At 41.9% G+C, this 19,750-nt stretch overlaps 1 protein-coding gene across 3 annotated transcripts in view, besides 5 other annotated features; it reads left to right on the top strand.

The window, feature by feature from the left end:
- The window catches only part of PACS1 (phosphofurin acidic cluster sorting protein 1), a 174,473-nt gene that overhangs the window by 11,756 nt on the left and 142,967 nt on the right, over positions 1-19,750 (top strand). Inside the window, exon 1 of one of the 3 annotated variants that reach the window (XM_011545164.3) lies at positions 1,951-2,203. The exons of 1 other annotated variant lie outside the window; for it this stretch is intronic. In XM_011545164.3, the coding sequence (XP_011543466.1) occupies positions 2,187-2,203 (17 nt within the window). In that variant the 5' untranslated portion in view covers positions 1,951-2,186. Of the gene's footprint in view, positions 1-1,950; positions 2,204-18,753; positions 18,848-19,750 lie in introns of those variants that run through there. One more of the 3 variants, XM_011545162.2, reaches the window with a different exon arrangement.
- Positions 17,487-18,396: an enhancer, noted in NCBI's record as "H3K4me1 hESC enhancer chr11:65866985-65867894 (GRCh37/hg19 assembly coordinates)". NCBI's record gives its function as "activates a minimal SCP1, AML or CMV promoter by ChIP-STARR-seq in primed H9 embryonic stem cells {active_cell/tissue: H9 hESC(primed)}" and the evidence as "EXISTENCE:reporter gene assay evidence [ECO:0000049][PMID:30033119]".
- Positions 18,307-18,376: an enhancer, noted in NCBI's record as "active region_5032". NCBI's record gives its function as "activates an Ori minimal core promoter by ATAC-STARR-seq in GM12878 lymphoblastoid cells {active_cell/tissue: GM12878}" and the evidence as "EXISTENCE:reporter gene assay evidence [ECO:0000049][PMID:35858748]".
- Positions 18,397-19,304: an enhancer, noted in NCBI's record as "H3K4me1 hESC enhancer chr11:65867895-65868802 (GRCh37/hg19 assembly coordinates)". NCBI's record gives its function as "activates a minimal SCP1, AML or CMV promoter by ChIP-STARR-seq in primed H9 embryonic stem cells {active_cell/tissue: H9 hESC(primed)}" and the evidence as "EXISTENCE:reporter gene assay evidence [ECO:0000049][PMID:30033119]".
- Positions 18,477-18,576: an enhancer, noted in NCBI's record as "active region_5033". NCBI's record gives its function as "activates an Ori minimal core promoter by ATAC-STARR-seq in GM12878 lymphoblastoid cells {active_cell/tissue: GM12878}" and the evidence as "EXISTENCE:reporter gene assay evidence [ECO:0000049][PMID:35858748]".
- Positions 18,947-19,026: a silencer, noted in NCBI's record as "silent region_3577". NCBI's record gives its function as "represses an Ori minimal core promoter by ATAC-STARR-seq in GM12878 lymphoblastoid cells {active_cell/tissue: GM12878}" and the evidence as "EXISTENCE:reporter gene assay evidence [ECO:0000049][PMID:35858748]".

A 19,750-nucleotide genomic window follows, 5' to 3' on the forward strand; every position in this document is an offset into this window, starting at 1 on the left:
ATTTTTCCATTTTGGTTGGAAATCTACAATTATATTTACTTGTTTCTGGTTCTTCTTTAAGAATGTATAAAACACAGATTAACATTTCCTTGAATCTGGATCTTAATGATGAATGGATTCTCATGGTAAACATCAGGGCTTAATGAAGAGTGTAGACTGGTACATGGGGCACAACTGCTTTCTTTAGTTTTTTGGTTTTGTTTGTTTGTTTGTTTTTGAGACAGTCTTACTCTGTCCCACAGGCTGGAGTGCAGTGGTACAATCATAGCTCACTGCAGCCTCGAATTCCTGGACTCAAGTGATCCTCTAACCTCAGTCTTCCAAGTAAAGGTCCACATCACCATACCCGGCTAATTTTTAAATTATTTATAGAGATGGGGTTTTGCCATGTTGCCCTGGCCTCAAGTGATCCTCTCACCTCAGCTTCGCAAAGTATTGGGATTACAGGTGTGAGCCACTATGTCTGGCCACCTTAAAAAAAAACAAACAAAAAAACACCTCATTTGTTATGAAGATAGATAAAATGTTTGTTTGTAAAATGTTTGCGCATCAGGCCGGGCGCTGTGGCTCACGCCTGTAATCCCAGCACTTTGGGAGGCCGAGGTGGGTGGATTACCTGAGGTCAGGAGTTACCTGGCCAACATGGTGAAACTCCATCTTTACTAAAAATACAAAAAAATTAGCCGGGCGTGTGGCGGTCGCCTGTAATCTCAGCTACTTGGGAGGCTGAGACAGGAGAATCGCTTGAACCCGAGAGGCAGAGGTTGCAGTGAGCCAAGATCATGCCATTGCACTCCAGCCTGGGCAGCAAGAGCAAAACTCTGTTTCAAAAAATATAAAATAAAATGTCTGAGCATCTATGTTCATAGAAATCATGACCTTCACATCTTTGAGGAGTGTCAGTGAAACTATGAATATGATGGTATAATATTTATACTGCAGCAGCTCTCATATCAGCCACCTTTTACATTGTCTTCACAAGCAGGTTTTTGTTTGGTACTTTAAATCACAGGCGATGGAATGGGGCAGTGTAATATGCCTTAAGTCTATTGTTTATGAAATTATGTCCTCAGAGTTAAAATATGTAGAAAGTAGTTGACAGCATTCTGTCATCTCTCCCATGCACTGCTTTTGCTGTGGATGAAAATGAATAAGCAACTCTGGAAACCAAGGTCCTCTGGGAACATAAAAACTCCTGTGGCTATTAATGGATTTAATTGTATTTCCTCTCTGCCACCAAGATATGCAATAAATTGTTTATGCCCTTGCCGTTAGTGGGGAGAATTGTTCATTAAACGCATGTAATGTCATTATTGCTTTGTTTTTATTACTTGTAGGTAGTCCTATCTCTCCTTTTAAAAAAAGTATAAAAAGAATGGCCGTAATTATTAAACACTGGCCATTAATCCCTTTGGTTGACTTTTTCCTCCATGGAGAAAAAGGAAAGTATCATCTCACTGGGGAAGCAAGCTTGGGCTGGAAATGGGTCATGGTCTCCCAAATCTAAGATCTGGCAGAAGGTTGGTTTTGTATGCTTTGGACTTGGGCCAAGTGATATGTTTACTTAGGCTCCAGAAGGGCCTGGTTCTAAGGCAGCCACACTGATAAATGAATGCCTTGTATCAAGTGTGGAGAGGCTTCATTATATTTAAATCCACTTAAGAGAACAGCTATAGAAGAATGACTGTTTAGGACTGTGGCTCTGTTTTCTTGTTTGTCATTTAGATATTTCTGCCAATTATAATAAATGTGGAGGAAAAAAAAAGCCAGCAAATTGCTATAGTCTCTTTAAAACCATGTGCCAGAAATGCTTTGACATTAAAGTTTGATTTCTCACTTGGCTTTACCCCACCATGTGGGTTTGGATAAGTCTTTGTAACTCTTCCTGCACATACCTTTACTGTTTCCTCATTTAGTTGAAAGATACTTATTGAGCACACATTACAGACCAGTCACTGCTTGGATACTGAGGAGAGAGCAGTGAACAAAACAGACAGAAATTCCAGCTCTTGCGGAGCTTACCTTCTGGGGACAGGGTGGGCAGCAGGCAGTAGTGAGTGAGTGAGCAAATATTAGGGTGTGTTGGACGGGAAGAATAAAGCTGGATGGGGATAAGTGGGCAGAGGAAAGAGGTCACGGTTTTAAACAAGGTGGTCTAGAAAGACCTCAGAAAGCGAGCCGGCCACATGGAACACACATTTAGGTAAGCTGGGTGCATTTTATGGGATGAGGCCCCCCAGTAGAGGGAACAAGAAGTACTGGCAGGTTCCAGAGCATCCAGGAGGCCAGTTTGGCTGGAGCCAGGTGAATTAAAGAGAGAGTAATGGATAAAGTCAGAGAGGTAAAACAGGTGATCTCACAGGCCATTGTGGGACTCTGGCTTTGATCTTGAGTGAGATGGGAAGTCACTGGGGCTTTTGAGCCAGCGAGGAGGCATGATGGTCACTTCCACCCTAAAAGAACCCCTGACCACTGTGTGTGGAAGCAGGGAGTCCGGTCAGGGGGCTGCTGTGATGATCTAGGTGGGAGCTGATGCTGGCTTGGACTAGGGTGGTGGAGGTGGAGATGAGAAAGTGGTGGGAGTCTGGGCATATTGTCAAGCCTGAAGGATTTGCCTATGGATTGGATTTGAGGTGTGACAGAACAAAAGGATTCAAGGATGACACCAATAGTTCATTTAACTTCTTTGTGTCAGTTTTCTGTTTGTTTTCTTTAAAAATAATTATTGTCGTCTCTTTATCTTAGCGACTTTCTGTGAGAATGAGATCTGTGTAACAGAGCTCTTGAGGGAGTTTTTTTTGTTTCCACTTTTACCATTTGTAATTAATTGGAAATAAAATTTCTTGGGAATGTACTGGGTGATAGAATAATCCATAGGTTGGCACCTGATTGTTTTAAAAACCTGGATGAGTTCTTCTTATGCTTTAGGCCACAGTGATGCTGTGGGAATGGCTGAGTCTCAATATCCCTAATTACTCTGCTGTTGTGTTTGCTGTCTGGTGTCCCCTCTGCAATCCTTATTTATTTGATGGTTTCCAAAGAGGTAGATTGCAGAAGCCATTAATAACTGTAGCCCCATAGCCTTTGTCACTAACGCAGCGAAATAGAAAAGTCCAAAACATCATGTTTTTTTCTTTTTTAATATTTTTTCTTTTCTAATGTAACTGTAAGAGTTTTTTTCTTTTTTGAAAGACTGGTTTGCTGTATCAGACAGCCTGTCTGCACTTCCTAGGAGCTGCTCTGTGAGGAGGAATCCTGCTGCAGAATGATCTAATTTGTGTAATCTTGAAGGTGGAGCTATTTTTGAAAGAGAACAGAAAAATAATGGAGCCCTTTGCTCAAGATTGCCAAACTGGATCTTACTGTTTTATAAAGGCAAAGGACTCAGAGTTTGCAGTTTGAACTCCTATTTCCCTCTCGTTCTGCTCATTATATCTAGATCAAATTTATGATAGATATACTTAGATAATTACTCTTGAAAATGACAGCTGGGTTTTCATTTGTTTCTTTCATTCGTTCTTTTACATTTTAGTTAAGTATATTATTCAACTTGTGGTATTGATGAAGTGAGTAGTATAAAAGAATAGTTACCAAGTTTAGGAATTAGAATTCTCTTTACAGTTCTTAACAATAGACTGATGGTTTGTAACTAGTTCTCAACCCTGTCATACCCTGTGACTCCCTTTAATATCCTGAAATAAAATTCCCAGATAAAATCTACTGACCTGTCTACAAAGTCTTAACTGTAATATGAAAGAAAAATAAAAGGAACATTATGGTAATAAAATATGTATTTCTGTGTAAATTCTCAGAAGACAAATGTAAATGCTCACAGCACATTGGAAACTGGAGCCATCAGGTGCTTGTGGGTACACGTGGCTTTATTTGTGTGAATATGACACCTATAAATAGAGGCCAATACAGGTGTATTGTGTTGGTCACTCAGATATGTAGCAATGCCACTGGCGATATGATTTTCTAAAATGGTGAATAAATCTTCATAAAGTTCTACACAAAACAAAGTATAATCTTTCCCTTATTTACATAGTGGTTACATTCCTGGAAAATTTAGTGTATATTTAGTGGTGAAAAAATGCTTATGATTTCTTTTTTTTTTTTTTTTTTTTTGAGACGGAGTCTCGCTCTGTCGCCCAGGCTGGAGTGCAGTGGCGCGATCTCGGCTCACTGCAGGCTCCGCCCCCCGGGGTTCACGCCATTCTCCTGCCTCAGCCTCCCGAGTAGCTGGGACTACAGGCGCCCGCTACCTCGCCCGGCTAATTTTTTGTATTTTTAGTAGAGACGGGGTTTCACTGTGTTAGCCAGGATGGTCTCGATCTCCTGACCTCGTGATCCACCCGCCTCGGCCTCCCAAAGTGCTGGGATTACAGGCGTGAGCCACCGCGCCCGGCCTGTAAGATCTCTTTAGGTCTAGGCTGAGATAGTTATAAACTGCTTTTTACTTAGATGATGTGTCTGGCAGGGCCAAAGGCCGATTTGTTATGAACCTGATGAAGCTTTTAAGTTTTAGGGCCCTGTACATGCACAGGCTACTTCCAGGGCCCTAATTAGAAAAACAAAAGCAAAAACACCTTTTTTCTTTTCCCTTGAGACAGGGTCTCATTCTGTCCGCCAGGCTGGAGTGTAGTAGTGTGATCTCAGCTCATGGCAACCTCCGCCTCCCAGGCTCAAGTGATTCTCGTGCCTCAGCCTCCTGAGTAGCTGGGATTACAGGCACACACCACCATGCCTGGCCAGTGTTTTAATTTTTTTGTAGAAATGGGGTTTCACCAAGTTGGTCAGGCTGATCTCGAACTCCTGACTTCAAGTGATCCACCCACCTCTGCCTCCCAAAGTGCTGGGATTACAGGCGTGGGGCCGGCCCCAAACACCTTTTGAGCACGTTTTCAGGGCCTTCTGAGGCTGTGTCATGGAAATAAACAAAAAACCTTTTGTTTGGAATGTCATGTACACTCAGAAAAGGACATATATCATAAGCCTAACTTGATAAATTTTCATAAACTGAACATATAAGCAGCACTCACATCAAGAAACAACATTACCAACGCCCCAGAACATTACCATGCCCCCTTCTAATACCACCCCTCCCACTCCACCAACGATAGCTAGTTTCCTAATTTCCAGCAGCACGCATTAGTTTTGCCTGCTTTTGTACTTCACACAGTGGATGAAGTACAAAAGAACACTTGTTTTTTTTTTTTGTTTTTTTTTTTGAGACAGAGTCTTGCTCTGTCGCCTAGGCTGGAGTGCAATGGCACGATCTCTGCTCACTGCAACCTCCGCCTCCCAGGTTCAAGTGATTCTCCTGCCTCAGCATTCCCCTGTAGCTGGGATTACAGGCATGCGCTACCATGCCCCGCTAATTTTTTGTACTTTTAGTAGAGGAAGGGTTTCACCATGTTGGCCAGGCTGGTCTTGAATGCCTGACCTTAGGTGATCCACCTGCCTTGGCCTCCCACAGTGCTGGGATTGCAGGCATGAGCCAGCCAAGAACACTTGTATCTAACTTCTGCTGCTCAACATTATGTTTATGTGATGCATCCACCTTGTTGCATGGAGTTGTAGTGAATGTAATCTTGTTGCTATGTAGTACTGTATTCCATGGTGTGAGTATATCGTAGTTTGTGTACAGTCCGCTGTTGATGGCTATATGGGAGATTTCCAGTTTGGGCTATGCTGAATAGTGCTACTGTGGGCATTCTTGTACATGTCTGTTGGTAGACCAAAGCACTCATTTCTCTGCAGTATATACCTGGGAGTCAGATTGCCGGGCTGTGGGGTATATGGACAGTATATTCAGCTGAGCAATATATGAAAGTTCCTGTTGCTGCACATCTCCACCAACAATTGTTTTTTGGTTTTTTTTTGCCTTTTTCAAGGCAAAGAATTGGGCTGGAGTAAAATGATTTCTCCTATGGCTTTAATTTGCATTTCCCCAATGATGTTGAGCACCTTTTCATGTATTTGTTGGCCGTGTGTGTATCCTCTTTTATGAACTGTCTGTTCAGGTTGATTGCACATTTATCTATTTTGGTTGTCTCTCTGTTTCTTATTTACCTTTAGGAGTTGTTTTTCTCAAAAATATCTTCTCATACTCTGTGTGTTCCTTTTTTACTCTTTATATTTATTTATTTATTTATTTATTTTTATGACGATATCAAGCAACCTTTTTACTCTTTCAGTGGTGTCTTTCAATGAACAGAAATTCTTAATCTTATAATTCAATTTATCAATTTTTTCCTTTGTTTAGTACCTTTTATTTTCTATTTAAGAAATCTTTGCCTACTCTAAGATCATGAAGATGTCCTCTACTGTTTTCTTCTAAAAGTTTTATTGTTTGCCTTCGACATTTAGAGTTCCAGTCCATCTGAAATTGATATTTGTATGTGATGTGAGGTATGGATTAAGACACATTTCCCCTGATACGGATACTCAACCCTGTACCATTTATTTACAAGGTCATCCTTTTCCCACTGCACTGCATTATCACCTTGATCATAAGTCCCATGATATTTTACATGCAGTTCTAATTTTAGGCTTTCTGTTCTGTACCATCGGTCAGTCTGTCCATCCTTGCATCAATGCCGCCCTGTCTCCGTGACTGTATCTTTATAATAGGCCTGTTACGTAGTGTGTCTTCCCGCTTTGTGCTTCTTCATAATTGCCTTAAGGTAGTCTTTGCCTTTTGTGTTTCCTTAGGAATTTTAGAATCAGCTTTTCAGTTTCCTTAAAAACTTCTCTTGGGGGAGAAATTTTATTCAGGATTGCATTGATCTCTATGGATTGATGTGCAGATAATTGAAATCTTTAAAATTGAATCTTTTAATTCATAGACATATGTCCCTTTATTTATTTAGGTCATGGTTTTGCATATTTTAGCATATAAGTATTCTGTACTTTTCTTTAGATGTATTCCTATATATTTGATATTTTTAAACCCTAAAGCTAATTTTGTAATTGTAATTTTGTATGCTTTTTCTTATAGAGGACTCTTTTTTAAGCTGTAGGCCCTACAAAACCTCATTCTATCCCTGGGCAGAATGTTTTCACTCACATGAATGTTGAAAATCATGTGGGAAGCTAGTCATTTCTTAATTGTGCAGGACTCGAAGGTTCCCACAACTGTGGGTCGTAGGATGTTTGGCATTCTTATTTTTCCCACCACTGAATGTCAGTGAATTCTCAATCATTGTGACAACCCCAGAGACATTACCACCACCATCATTCTTTTGAGACTCAATTGTTAAAGACATTTTGCTCTTATTATGACAGTTATTATAGTTCATAAATGTAAGCATGCTTGAATGTCCCCAAGTGCGTGTGATTTTTTTGCAGGAAGAGACCTAAAATAAGTCAACAGTTTCAAGTGTTGCCATTTATTAATACAACCTAGACTTTATAAAAATTAGCAAACAGTTAATCTTTACAGACTTCTGCTTACAAGCTTCCTGGTAGAGTGGATTGAACGCTGGACTTGGAACCAGAAGAATTAAATCCTTCTTTTAGCAATTAGAAACTCTGTGATTTGGGGTCTATGACCTTTTGCAGCTCAATCTTCTCCTCGAAATAGAAATAAGTAAATATAACTATCTAGCTGACTACTCAGAGTTCTTGGGAAGAACAGACGAGACAACTTATAAATGCTTTGTATCTCAGAGCACCATAGAAATGCCATTGGTGGCTGGGCGCGATGGCTCACGTCTGTAATTCCAGCACTTTAGGATGCCAAGGTGGGCAGATCACAAGGTCAGGAGATCGAGACCATCCTGGCTAACACAGTGAAACCCCGTCTCTACTAAAAATACAAAAAATTAGCTGGGTGTGGTGGCGGGCACCTGTAGTCCCAGCTACTCGAGAGGCTGAGGCAGGAGAATGGCGTGAACCCGGGAGGCTGAGCTTGCAGTGAGCCAAGATCGCGCCACTGCACTCCAGCCTGGAGGACAGAGCGAGACTCCATCTCAAAAAAAAAAAAAAAAAAAAGAAATGCCATTGGTATAAATTCAAGTATTTGTTAACTCTTCTTTGCCGGGACTGTGGGCATAATTACCAAGAGGAAACCTCCTAAATAGTTTGGATCCATCCAGTTTGGGGTTCTTTGAACATGGACACTTTAGCCATAACTTACAGAAAGTGGCTTGGCTTGACTTGACTTGGCTTGGCTTGGCTTGGCTTGGCTTTTCTTTTCTTCTTTTCTTTCTCTTCTCTTCTTTTCTCTTCTTTCCTTTCTTTTTTTTTTTTTTTTTTTCAGATAGGGTCTTGCTCTGTTGCCCATGCTGGAGCACAGTGGCATGATCTCAGCTCACTGCAGCCTGAACCTCCCAGGCCCGAGCAATCCTCCCATCTCAGCCTCGGAAGTAGCTGGGACTACAGGCCCGTGCTGCCACACCCAGCTAATTTTGTTTATTTTTTGTAGAGACAAGGTCCCACTGTTGCCCAGGCTGGTGAACTCCTGGACTCAAGTGATCCTCCTGCTTCAGCCTCCCAAAGTGCTGGGATTACAGGCATCAGCCACCGTGCCCTGCCTAAAAGTGGCACCTGTTTTCTAAAAGTGTGTGTATGTAGGAAGGCAACAAGAGCACTGATCTGTTGGGATTCCTGTGTCTTAATTCTGATTTTCTAAATGAAAGTAGGCAAACCACTCACTTTCCAGACCCTTCATTGTCTTACTGCTTAGAAATGCTCTGAGGAGAAAGATAGAATCACTAAAGAGTTTTATGTTCCTCAGTGAAAGGTATCAGATGAATATAGGTGATATATTATTATAATTAGATTTTCTTTCATATAAATGCACGATAACCCTGACTTTCCAGCCAATGGATTGAGAAATCCTTGGCCTGTTAGTGGATAAAAAGATAATGAGAACTTGGAATGTAAGTTGTGAAGAAGGGATACAGTTTTTACAATTTTAATATGGAATATGCCTAATACTAATAAAATATTGAATTTCAATATGATTTCTCCACCCCAGTAAATCTTAGTCTCTTTAATTAGCATTACATTTAGCATACAGATTCTTAGAAAAGACAAATGCTCCTTTTAATTGTGTTTTTGTTTCATTTGAAGTTTCAGCATTTGATTACTTTCCTCCCTGGTTTGTTTTACTTATTTATTTTTTTGAGACAGACTCTCACTCCAGCCCAGGCTGGAGTGCAGTAGTGGATCTCAGATCACTGCAACCTCCGCCTCCCAAGTTAAAGTGATTCTCAGGCCTCAACCTCCCGAGTCTCTAGGATTACAGGTGTGTGCCACCACACCAAGCTAATTTTTGTATTTTTAGTGGAGACGAGGTTTCACCAAGTTGTCCAGTCTGGTCTTGAACTTCTGAGCTCAAGCAGTCCACCCACCTCGGCCTCCCAAAGTGCTAGGATTACAGGCATGAGCCACCACGCCCAGCCTGGTTTTATTTTTTGGTAGTCCAAATTCCCCAGTAGTTTTTTTTCTCATTGTTGTTGTTGTTGTTTTTTTTCTTTTTTTTTTCTTTTATTATTATTATACTTTAAATTTTAGGGTACATGTGCACAATGTGCAGGTTAGTTACATATGTATACATGTGCCATGCTGGTGTGCTGCACCCATTAACTCATCATTTAGCATTAGGTATATCTCCTAAAGCTATCCCTCCCCCCTCCTCCCACCCCACAACAGTCCCCAGAGTGTGATGTTCCCCTTCCTGTGTCCATGTGTTCTCATTGTTCAGTTCCCACCTATGAGCGAGAATATGCAGTGTTTGGTTTTTTGTTGTTGCGATAGTTTACTGAGAATGATGATTTCCAATTTCATCCATGTCCCTACAAAGGACATGAACTCATCATTTTTTATGGCTGCATAGTATTCCATGGTGTATATGTGCCACATTTTCTTAATCCAGTCTATCATTGTTGGACATTTGGGTTGGTTCCAACTCTTTGCTATTGTGAATAGTGCTGCAATAAACATACGTGTGCATATGTTGTTATAGCAGCATGATTTATAGTCCTTTGGGTGTATACCCAGTAATGGGATGGCTGGGTCAAATGGTATTTCTAGTTCTAGATCCCTGAGGAATCGCCACATTGACTTCCACAGTGGTTGAACTAGTTTACAGTCCCACCAACAGTGTAAAAGTGTTCCTATTTCTCCACATCCTCTCCAGCACCTGTTGTTTCTTGACTTTTTAATGATTGCCATTCTAACTGGTGTGAGATGGTATCTCATTGTGGTTTTGATTTGCATTTCTCTGATGGCCAGTGATGGTGAGCATTTTTTCATGTCTTTTTTGGCTGCATAAATGTCTTCTTTTGAGAAGTGTCTGTTCATGTCCTTCGCCCACTTTTTGATGGGGTTGTTGGTTTTTTTCTTGTAAATTTGTTTGAGTTCACTGTAGATTCTGGATATTAGCCCTTTGTCAGATGAGTAGGTTGCGAAAATTCTCTCCCATTTTGTAGGTTGCCTGTTCACTCTGATGGTAGTTTCTTTTGCTGTGCAGAAGCTCTTGAGTTTAATTAGATCCCATTTGTCAATTTTGGCTTTTGTTGCCATTGCTTTTGGTGTTTTAGACATGAAGTCCTTGCCCATGCCTATGTCCTGAATGGTAATGCCTAGGTTTTCTTCTAAGGTTTTTATGGTTTTAGGTCTAACGTTTAAGTCTTTAATCCATCTTGAATTAATTTTTGTATAAGGTGTAAGGAAGGGATCCAGTTTCAGCTTTCTACATATGGCTAGCCAGTTTTCCCAGCACCATTTATTAAATAGAGAATCCTTTCCCCATTGCTTGTTTTTCTCAGGTTTGTCAAAGATCAGATAGTTGTAGATATGCGGCGTTATTTCTGAGGGCTCTGTTCTGTTCCATTGATCTATATCTCTGTTTGGTACCATGCTGTTTCGGTTACTGTAGCCTTATAGTATAGTTTGAAGTCAGGTAGCGTGATGCCTCCAGCTTTGTTCTTTTGGCTTAGGATTGACTTGGTGATGCGGGCCCTTTTTTGGTTCCATATGAACTTTAAAGTAGTTTTTTCCAATTCTGTGAAGAAAGTCATTGGTAGCTTGATGGGGATGGCATTGAATCTATAAATTACCTTGGGCAGTATGGCCATTTTCACGATATTGATTCTTCCTACCCATGAGCATGGAATGTTCTTCTATTTGTTTGTATCCTCTTTTATTTCATTGAGCAGTGGTTTGTAGTTCTCCTTGAAGAGGTCCTTCACGTCCCGTGTAAGTTGGATTCCTAGGTATAAAGAGTCAAGACCCATCAGTGTGCTGTATTCAGGAAACCCATCTCACGTGCAGAGACACACATAGGCTCAAAATAAAAGGATGGAGGAAGATCTACCAAGCAAATGGAAAACAAAAAAAGGCAGGGGTTGCAATCCTAGTCTCTGATAAAACAGACTTTAAACCAACAAAGATCAAAAGAGACAAAGAAGGCCATTACATAATGGTAAAGGGATCAATTCAACAAGAAGAGCTAACTATCCTAAATATATATGCACCCAATACAGGAGCACCCAGATTCATAAAGCAAGTCCTGAGTGACCTACAAAGAGACTTAGACTCCCACACAATAATAATGGGAGACTTTAACACCCCACTGTCAACATTAGACAGATCAACAAGATAGAAAGTTAACAAGGATACCCAGGAATTGAACTCACCTCTGCACCAAGCGGACCTAATAGACATCTACAGAACTCTCCACCCCAAATCAACAGAATATACATTTTTTTCAGCACCACACCACACCTATTCCAAAATTGACCACATAGTTGGAAGTAAAGCTCTCCTCAGCAAATGTAAAAGATCAGACATTATAACAAACTGTCTCTCAGACCACATTGCAATCAAACTAGAACTCAGGATTAAGAATCTCACTCAAAACCACTCAACTACATGGAAACTGAACAACCTGCTCCTGAATGACTACTGGGTACATAACAAAATGAAGGCAGAAATAAAGATGTTCTTTGAAACCAACGAGAACAAAGACACAACATACCAGAATCTCTGGGACGCATTCAAAGCAGTGTGTAGAGGGAAATTTATAGCACTAAATGCCCACAAGAGAAAGCAGGGAAGATCCAAAATTGACACCCTAACATCACAATTAAAAGAACTAGAAAAGCAAGAGCAAACACATTCAAAAGCTAGCAGAAGGCAAGAAATAACTAAAATCAGAGCAGAACTGAAGGAAATAGAGACACAAAAAACCCTTCAAAAATTAATGAATCCAGGAGCTGGTTTTTTGAAAGGATCAACAAAATTGATAGACCGCTAGCAAGACTAATAAAGAAAAAAAGAGAGAAGAATCAAATAGACGCAATAAAAAATGATAAAGGGGATATCACCACCGATCCCACAGAAATACAAACTACCATCAGAGAATACTACAAACACCTCTACGCAAATAAACTAGAAAATCTAGAAGAAATGGATAAATTCCTCGACACATACACCCTCCCAAGACTAAACCAGGAAGAAGTTGAATCTCTGAATAGACCAATAACAGGCTCTGAAATTGTGGCAATAATCAATAGCTTACCAACCAAAAAGAGTCCAGTACCAGATGGATTCACAGCTGAATTCTACCAGAGGTACAAGGAGGAACTGGTACCATTCCTTCTGAAACTATTCCAATCAACAGAAAAGGAGGGAATCCTCCCTAACTCATTTTATGAGGCCAGCATCATCCTGATACCAAAGCCGGGCAGAGACACAACCAAAAAAGAGAATTTTAGACCAATATCCTTGATGAACATCGATGCAAAAATCCTCAATAAAATACTGGCAAACCGAATCCAGCAGCACATCCAAAAGCTTATCCACCATGATCAAGTGGGCTTCATCCCTGGGATGCAAGGCTGGTTCAATATACACAAATCAATAAATGTAATCCAGCATATAAACAGAACCAAAGACAAAAACCACATGATTATCTCAATAGATGCAGAAAAGGCCTTTGACAAAATTCAACAACCCTTCATGCTAAAAACTCTCAATAAATTAGGTATTGATGGGACGTATCTCAAAATAATAAGAGCTATCTATGACAAACCCACAGCCAATATCATACTGAATGGGCAAAAACTGGAAGCATTCCCTTTGAAAACTGGCATAAGACAGGGATGCCCTCTCTCACCACTCCTATTCAACATAGTGTTGGAAGTTCTGGCCAGGGCAATTAGGCAGGAGAAGGAAATAAAGGGTATTCAGTTAGGAAAAGAGGAAGTCAAATTGTCCCTGTTTGCAGATGACATGATTGTATATCTAGAAAACCCCATTGTCTCAGCCCAAAATCTCCTTAAGCTGATAAGCAACTTCAGCAAAGTCTCAGGATACAAAATCAATGTACAAAAATCACAAGCATTCTTACACACCAATAACAGACAAACAGAGAGCCAAATCATGAGTGAACTCCCATTCACAATTGCTTCAAAGAGAATTGTTGTTGTTTTGAGACGGAGACTTACTCTGTTGCCCAGTCTGGAGTGCAGTGATGTGATCTCCACTCACTACGAACTCAATCTCCTGGATTCAAGTGATTCTCCTGCCTCAGCCTCCTGAACAGCAGGGGTTACAGGCACATGCTACCATGCCTGGCTAATTTTTGTATTTTTAGTAGAGACGGAGTTTCACCATGTTGGCCAGGATGGTCTCGAACTCCTGACCTCAAGTGATCCACCCGCCTTGGCCTCCCAAAGTGCTGGGATTACAGGCGTGAGCCACCACGCCCGGCCTCATTATTGCTTTTATTTTTAATCAAAGTTATACATATATTTTAGAGAGTCACGTAGTTTTACAGACTTATTTAGAAAACAATCTTTAGGTATTATCTGGTGAATTCCAGCTGTCGAAAACTGTTTGGCTTTTTCATCAGCACCCACATTTTCCCAATAAGTTTGTAATTTCTTCTTTTTTTTTTTTAAATTTTTGAGATAGAGTCTCACTCTGTTGCCCAGGCTGAAATGCAATGGCGTGATCTGAGTTCACTGCAACCTCCACCTCCCAGGTTGAAGGAATTCTTCTGCCTCAGCCTTCTAAGCAACTGGGATTACAGGCATGCACTACCATGCTCAGCTAATTTTTTTATTTTAGTAGAGACGGGGTTTTGCCAATTGCCCAGGCTGGTCTTGAACTCCTGCCCTCAAGTGAGCCACCATGCCTGGTTTTCTTTTTATCTTTTTCTTTCTTTTTTTTTTTTTTTTTTTTTTTTGATGTAGGGTGTTTCGCTGTGTCACCAAGGCTGGAGTACAGTGATGGCTCACTGCAGCCTTAACTTCCCAAGCTCAAGTGATCCACCTGCCTCAGCCTCCCGAAGTGCTGGAATTAGAGGTGTGAGCCACTGCGCCCAGCTAGTAGTTCATTCTTTTTTATTTCCAAGTATTTCATTGAAACATGATATAATTTGCATATCCATTCTCCTGTTGATGGACATATAGGTTCTTTACAGCTTTTAGCTTTTATGAATAAAGTTGCTATGAATTTTTTTTTTTTTTTTTGAGACGGGAGTTTCACTCTTGTTGCCCAGGCTGGAGTGCAATGGCGTGATCTTGGCTCACTGCAACCTCTGCCTCCCGGGTTCAAGCGATTCTCCTGCCTCAACCTCCCTTGTAGCTGGGATTACAGGCATGCGCCACCATGCCTGGCTAATTTTTTTTATTTTGTGGAGACGGGGTTTCTCCATGTTGGTCAGGCTGGTCTCAAACTCCTGACCTCAGATGATCTGCCCACCTCGGCCTCCCAAAGTGCTGGGATTACAGGCCTGAGCACCGCGCCCAGCCGCTGTGAACATTCTTACACAGGTGTTTTTACAGACATACATTTTCATTTCTCCCTCTCTCTCTCTTTTTTTTTTTTTTAATGTAGAGACAGTCTCGCTTTGTTGCCCATGCCAGTTTTGAACTCCTGGCTTTGTGGAATCCTATTGCCTCACACTCCCAAAGTGCTGGGATTACAGGCATGAGCCACCACGCCCAGCCCCATTTTCATTTCTTTGGGGGTACATATGTTGGAGTGGAATGGTGTGTCTTAGAGTAGGTGTATGTTTAAACTTTGTAAGAAACTGCCAATTTTTTCAAAGTGATTGTATCAGTTTGCATTCCCACTAACTGAGGCAGACAGATTCTGAAGTGGCCCCCATGATAAATACCCCCTGGTATTTATGGCCTAGTAGTCCTGTGCCCTTGGGTGCAGGTGGGACCTGTGATTGACTCCTCACTGATAGAATATGGCAGAGGTGACAGGATGTGTATGGTCATGCATACCTGATTATTCCCAGTCAGATCGTAATGCTCATCTTGTGAGGAGACTCTCTCCCTTGCTGGCTTTGGTGCTGTGTTGTGAGCTGCCTATGGAGACGGCCCTGTGGCAGGGAGCTCAGGGCAGCTTCAAACCCACAGCCAGCAAGAGACTGTGGCCCTCAGTCCAGCAGCCCACAAGGAATTGAGTGTTGCCAACAACCATGTGTGTTTGGAAACAGATCCTATCCCACTCAGTTCTCAGATGAGACCATAGTCTCAGCCAGTACCTTGGTGGCACCTTATAGAGGACCCAGCTAAACTGTGCCTGGGCTTTTGACCTATAGAATCTGTGAGATAATAAACATGCATTAGTTTAAGCTGCTGCTAAGCTTTGCTAGTATTATTATGCTACAGTGGATAACTAATACGAGCAATATAGTTCCTGTTGCCCTGTATCTCCACCGACATTTAGTGCCTGTCTTTTAGATTTTAGCCATGTTAGTGGGCATGAAATGGAAACTCTGAGGCTTTAATTTGCATTTCCCTAATGACATTGAATACCTGCTAATTGGACATTTGGATACCTTCTTTTGCGAAGTATCTGTTCAAGTCTTTTTCTTATTTTAAAAATAGGTAGGTTGGGCATGGTGGTTTACACCTGTAATCCCGGCACTTTGGGGGCCAAGGTGGGTGGATCGCCTGAGCTCAGGAGTTTGAGACCACCCTGGCAACATGGTGAAACCTCGTCTCTACTAAGATACAAAAAATTAGCTGGGCATGGTGGTGGGCGCCTGTAGTCCCAGCTACTCAGGAGGCTGAGGCGCAAGAATCACTTGAGCTCGGGAGATGGAAGTTTCAGTGAGCCCAGATCATGCCACCACACTCCAGCTTGGGCTACAGAGTGAGATTCCGTCTCAAAAATAATAAAAATAATAAGAGTAAGAATAATCAATATGTTTGTCTTTTTATAATTTATTTGTAGAAGTTCTTTATATATGACGGGTTAAGTTCTTTATCAGATGTGTGTGTGTGTGTCTCTGCATGAATGTGTGTTGTATGTTTGTGTGTGTATCTGATAGAGTTTTCTTCTAGTCTGTGATGGGGAGGAACTTGCACATTCCTCTCACCTCATGCAGATTTCCAAACTGTTCACGTTTTACTGCATTTACTCTATTGTACTATTTCTCTCTCTAAATCAGTTTTTTCTGGGTCATTTGAGACCATGTTATGCACATGCTATCCTAGCACCCTTAAATATTTCAGTGTTTATTTTCCGCCAGTTAAGGGCACTCCCAAATAACCACTACATACTCCTTTAAGTCAGACAATTTGCAGTGATAAAACCCTATTGTCCAATCTATTGACCCCATTCACAGTTTGCTGCCCCAACTATATCTCATTTCTGTTTTGTCCCAGAATCCCAGGGAGGAGTGTGCATTGCACCTAGCTGTCAGCGTCTCTTCACACCCTCCAGTCTGGGATCATCCTTTGTCATCCCGGTTGTTCTTGTCCACAACCGTTAGATATCCTGTAGGGTGATTGGCAAGGCGGATCTTATAGTATTTCCTTATGACCAAATTCAGGTCATGATTTCTTGGCAAAAGTATCACAAAAATGATGCTGTAATAGTCTCAGCACATCACATCAAGGGGCACATTCTGTTAACCAGCCCTGTTACTGCTGTTGTTGGCCCTCATCACCTGCTCATGTTGGTGTCTTCCAGGTATCTCTGTTTTTCTTACTGTAATGCCATTGTTTTTCTTTTCTTTTCCTTTTCTTTTTTCCCTTTTCCCTTCCCTTTTCAATGGAGTCTCACTCTGTAGCCCAAGCTGGAATGCAGTGGCACAATCTCAGCTCACTGCAACCTCCGCCTCCAGGGCTCAAGCAGTTCTCCTGCCTCAGCCTCCAAAGTAGCTGGTACTACAGGTGCATGACACCACACCGGGCTAATAGTTATTGATTTATTTATTTATTTATTTTTGAGACAGAGTGTCGCTCTGTCGCCCAGGCTGCAGTGCATTGGCACAATCTCTGGTCACTACAAGCTCCGCCTCCCAGGTTCACTCCATTCTCCTGCCTCAGCCTCCCGAGTAGCTGGGACTACAGGCGCCCACCACCACACTCGGCTAATTTTTTTGTATTTTTAGTAGAGATGGGGTTTCACTGTGTTAGCCAGGATGTTCTCAATCTCCTGACCTCGTGATCCACCCTCCTCGGCCTCCCAAAGTGCTGGGAGTACAGGCATAAGCCACCGTGCCCAGCCTATCACTTTCTATATCATTTTCTTTTTTGGGGGGGTTTTGAGGGCAGGGTCTGGCTCTGTCTCCTAGGCTGGAGTACAGTCGCTCGATATCAGCTCACTGCAACCTCCGCCTCCTGGGCTCAAGTCATCCTCCCACCTCAGCCTCCCGAGTAGCTGGGACCACAGACATGTGCCACCATACCCAGCTAATTTTTGTATTTTTTGTAGAGTTGGGATTTTGCCATGTTATTCAGGCTGGTCTTGAACTCCTGAGCTCAAGTGGTCTACCCACCTTGGCCTCCCAAAATGCTGGGATTATAGGCATGAGCCACCATGCCTGGCCTATATCTGTTTTTGTTTTTTGAGATGGAATTTTGCTCTTGTTGCCCAGGCTGGAGTGCAATGGCGCAATCTCGGTTCACCACAACCTTGGCTTGCTGCAACCTCGGCTCACTGCAACCTCCGCCTCCTGGGTTCAAGCAGTTCTCCTCCCTCAGCCCCCTGAGTAGCTGGGATTACAGACATCCGCCAGCACACCCAGCTAATTTTGTATTTTTAGTAGAGACGTGGTCTCGCCATGTTGGTCAGGCTGGTCTCGAACTCCTGACCTCAGGTGATCTGCCCGCCTCGGCCTCCCAAAGTGCTGGGATTACAGGCGTGGGCCACCACGCCTGCCTTTTTCTTTATATATCTTAAAAACCATGTATTCAGACTGATCTCTTAAATTCCAATGTAACATTTTAGGGTTCTCTCCAGCCTAAGCCCTTTGCATGTTTGTAAGTACCTCTTCCAAGAGGTACTTGGAAGAAACCTGGCTTTCACTATTCTCAGTATATTTACTTATTTGCTCCTTGTAACTGGTCTTTCACCTACCCTGACCTTGCCTTCTGTCTACCACATCTGCACGTGCCCTCACACCCCTGCCTCAGCACCCTGCGTCCTTGAGCACTAGTAGGTGGAAGCAGGAAAACAGACGTGTAAACTTCATAACAGTGACTCATAAGACAATAGAGGTGGAAAGCGAGAAGCCGATTTACTCTGCAAAATCATAAGTAGTATTTGTTCCATTATCTACTGTTGTGTAAAAAAGTCTCTCCAAAAGTTATCACTTAAAATAAGGGAAGAACTATTTTGCATACAAACTGCACTTTGGGCAGAGTTCAGCAATAATACTCAATTCTCTCTGCGGCACTCAAGTGAGGTGGGCTGGTTCAAAGTTGGAGCATCCAGGGGCGGAGGCTAGAATCTTGTGCAGTCTCCCTCACCGTGTGATGTCTGGCAGCTGATGCCAGCTATTAGCTGGGACCTCCATGAGAACTGTGGCTGGAACACCTGTTATGGCCTTTCCACGTGGCTGCTTGGCTTCCTCACGGTACGGTGGCTGGGTTCCAAGGGCAGGCATCACACAAGCAAGAGCGAGCTGGCGGAAGCCTCAGTGCCTGTCCTCCTCCAGCGTGGAGAGTCACATGGCCTCATTTCTACTGCATTCTGCTGGTTAGAAGGAAGTCACTAAAGCCAGCCATATTCAGGGGGAGGGTAATTTGTTTCCACTTTTTCATGAGAGGACTGTTAAAGAATTTATAGATATGTTTTAAGACTGGCACAGAATTTAAAAATATACTATTTTCTGGAAGAATGGAAGATTCATTTGTACAGTTGCATTCGTTCAGTATTTTTAATTCATTTTTTTTAAAAGTTTTAAACACTTACATCTACTGGTATATAGGTATGCTTGCCCCATTTCCTTTTCTTTTCACTTTCTCTTTTTACAGAACCCTGCTGCAAGCTAACTCATGTATGCGTCCGTTCATGCTTTTGTTCATTCTTGTGTGATACAGAAATGTATATACACATACATACAGTGGGTTGGGAATCTTGTTTTTAAAAAATAGAATCACATTGAAACTAATTTTTGCATCCTGTTTTTCTGAACACCTTGGAGAAATCCCTATAAATCAAGAGGTTTCATTCTAATTTGTTCTTTTTAGATGCTGCACATACTCTGTTTTCTGATTTGGTTATTTGATCATGACGGGGTAGGAATAGAGAGGGACAGGCTTCAAAGAAAGGGTAGTCAGGAAAGAGAAAGAGGAGGAGTGCTAGGTATTCCTGGGGTCTTCAACCTGATGTGTCATCGAAGTGGGTGGGAAGTTGGGAAAATGGTGGTGGGGAGGTGTGTTGGTTGGTTTTAGCGGGGAAATGAGTATTTTTTTATATGCACTAAAATTACCTACCAGGCAGTTGAATACATAGGAGCAGGGAGTGAGTCCAAGGA

The sequence above is a fragment of the Homo sapiens genome, chromosome 11, assembly GCF_000001405.40.
Source record: "Homo sapiens chromosome 11, GRCh38.p14 Primary Assembly".
NCBI lineage: Eukaryota > Metazoa > Chordata > Mammalia > Primates > Hominidae > Homo > Homo sapiens.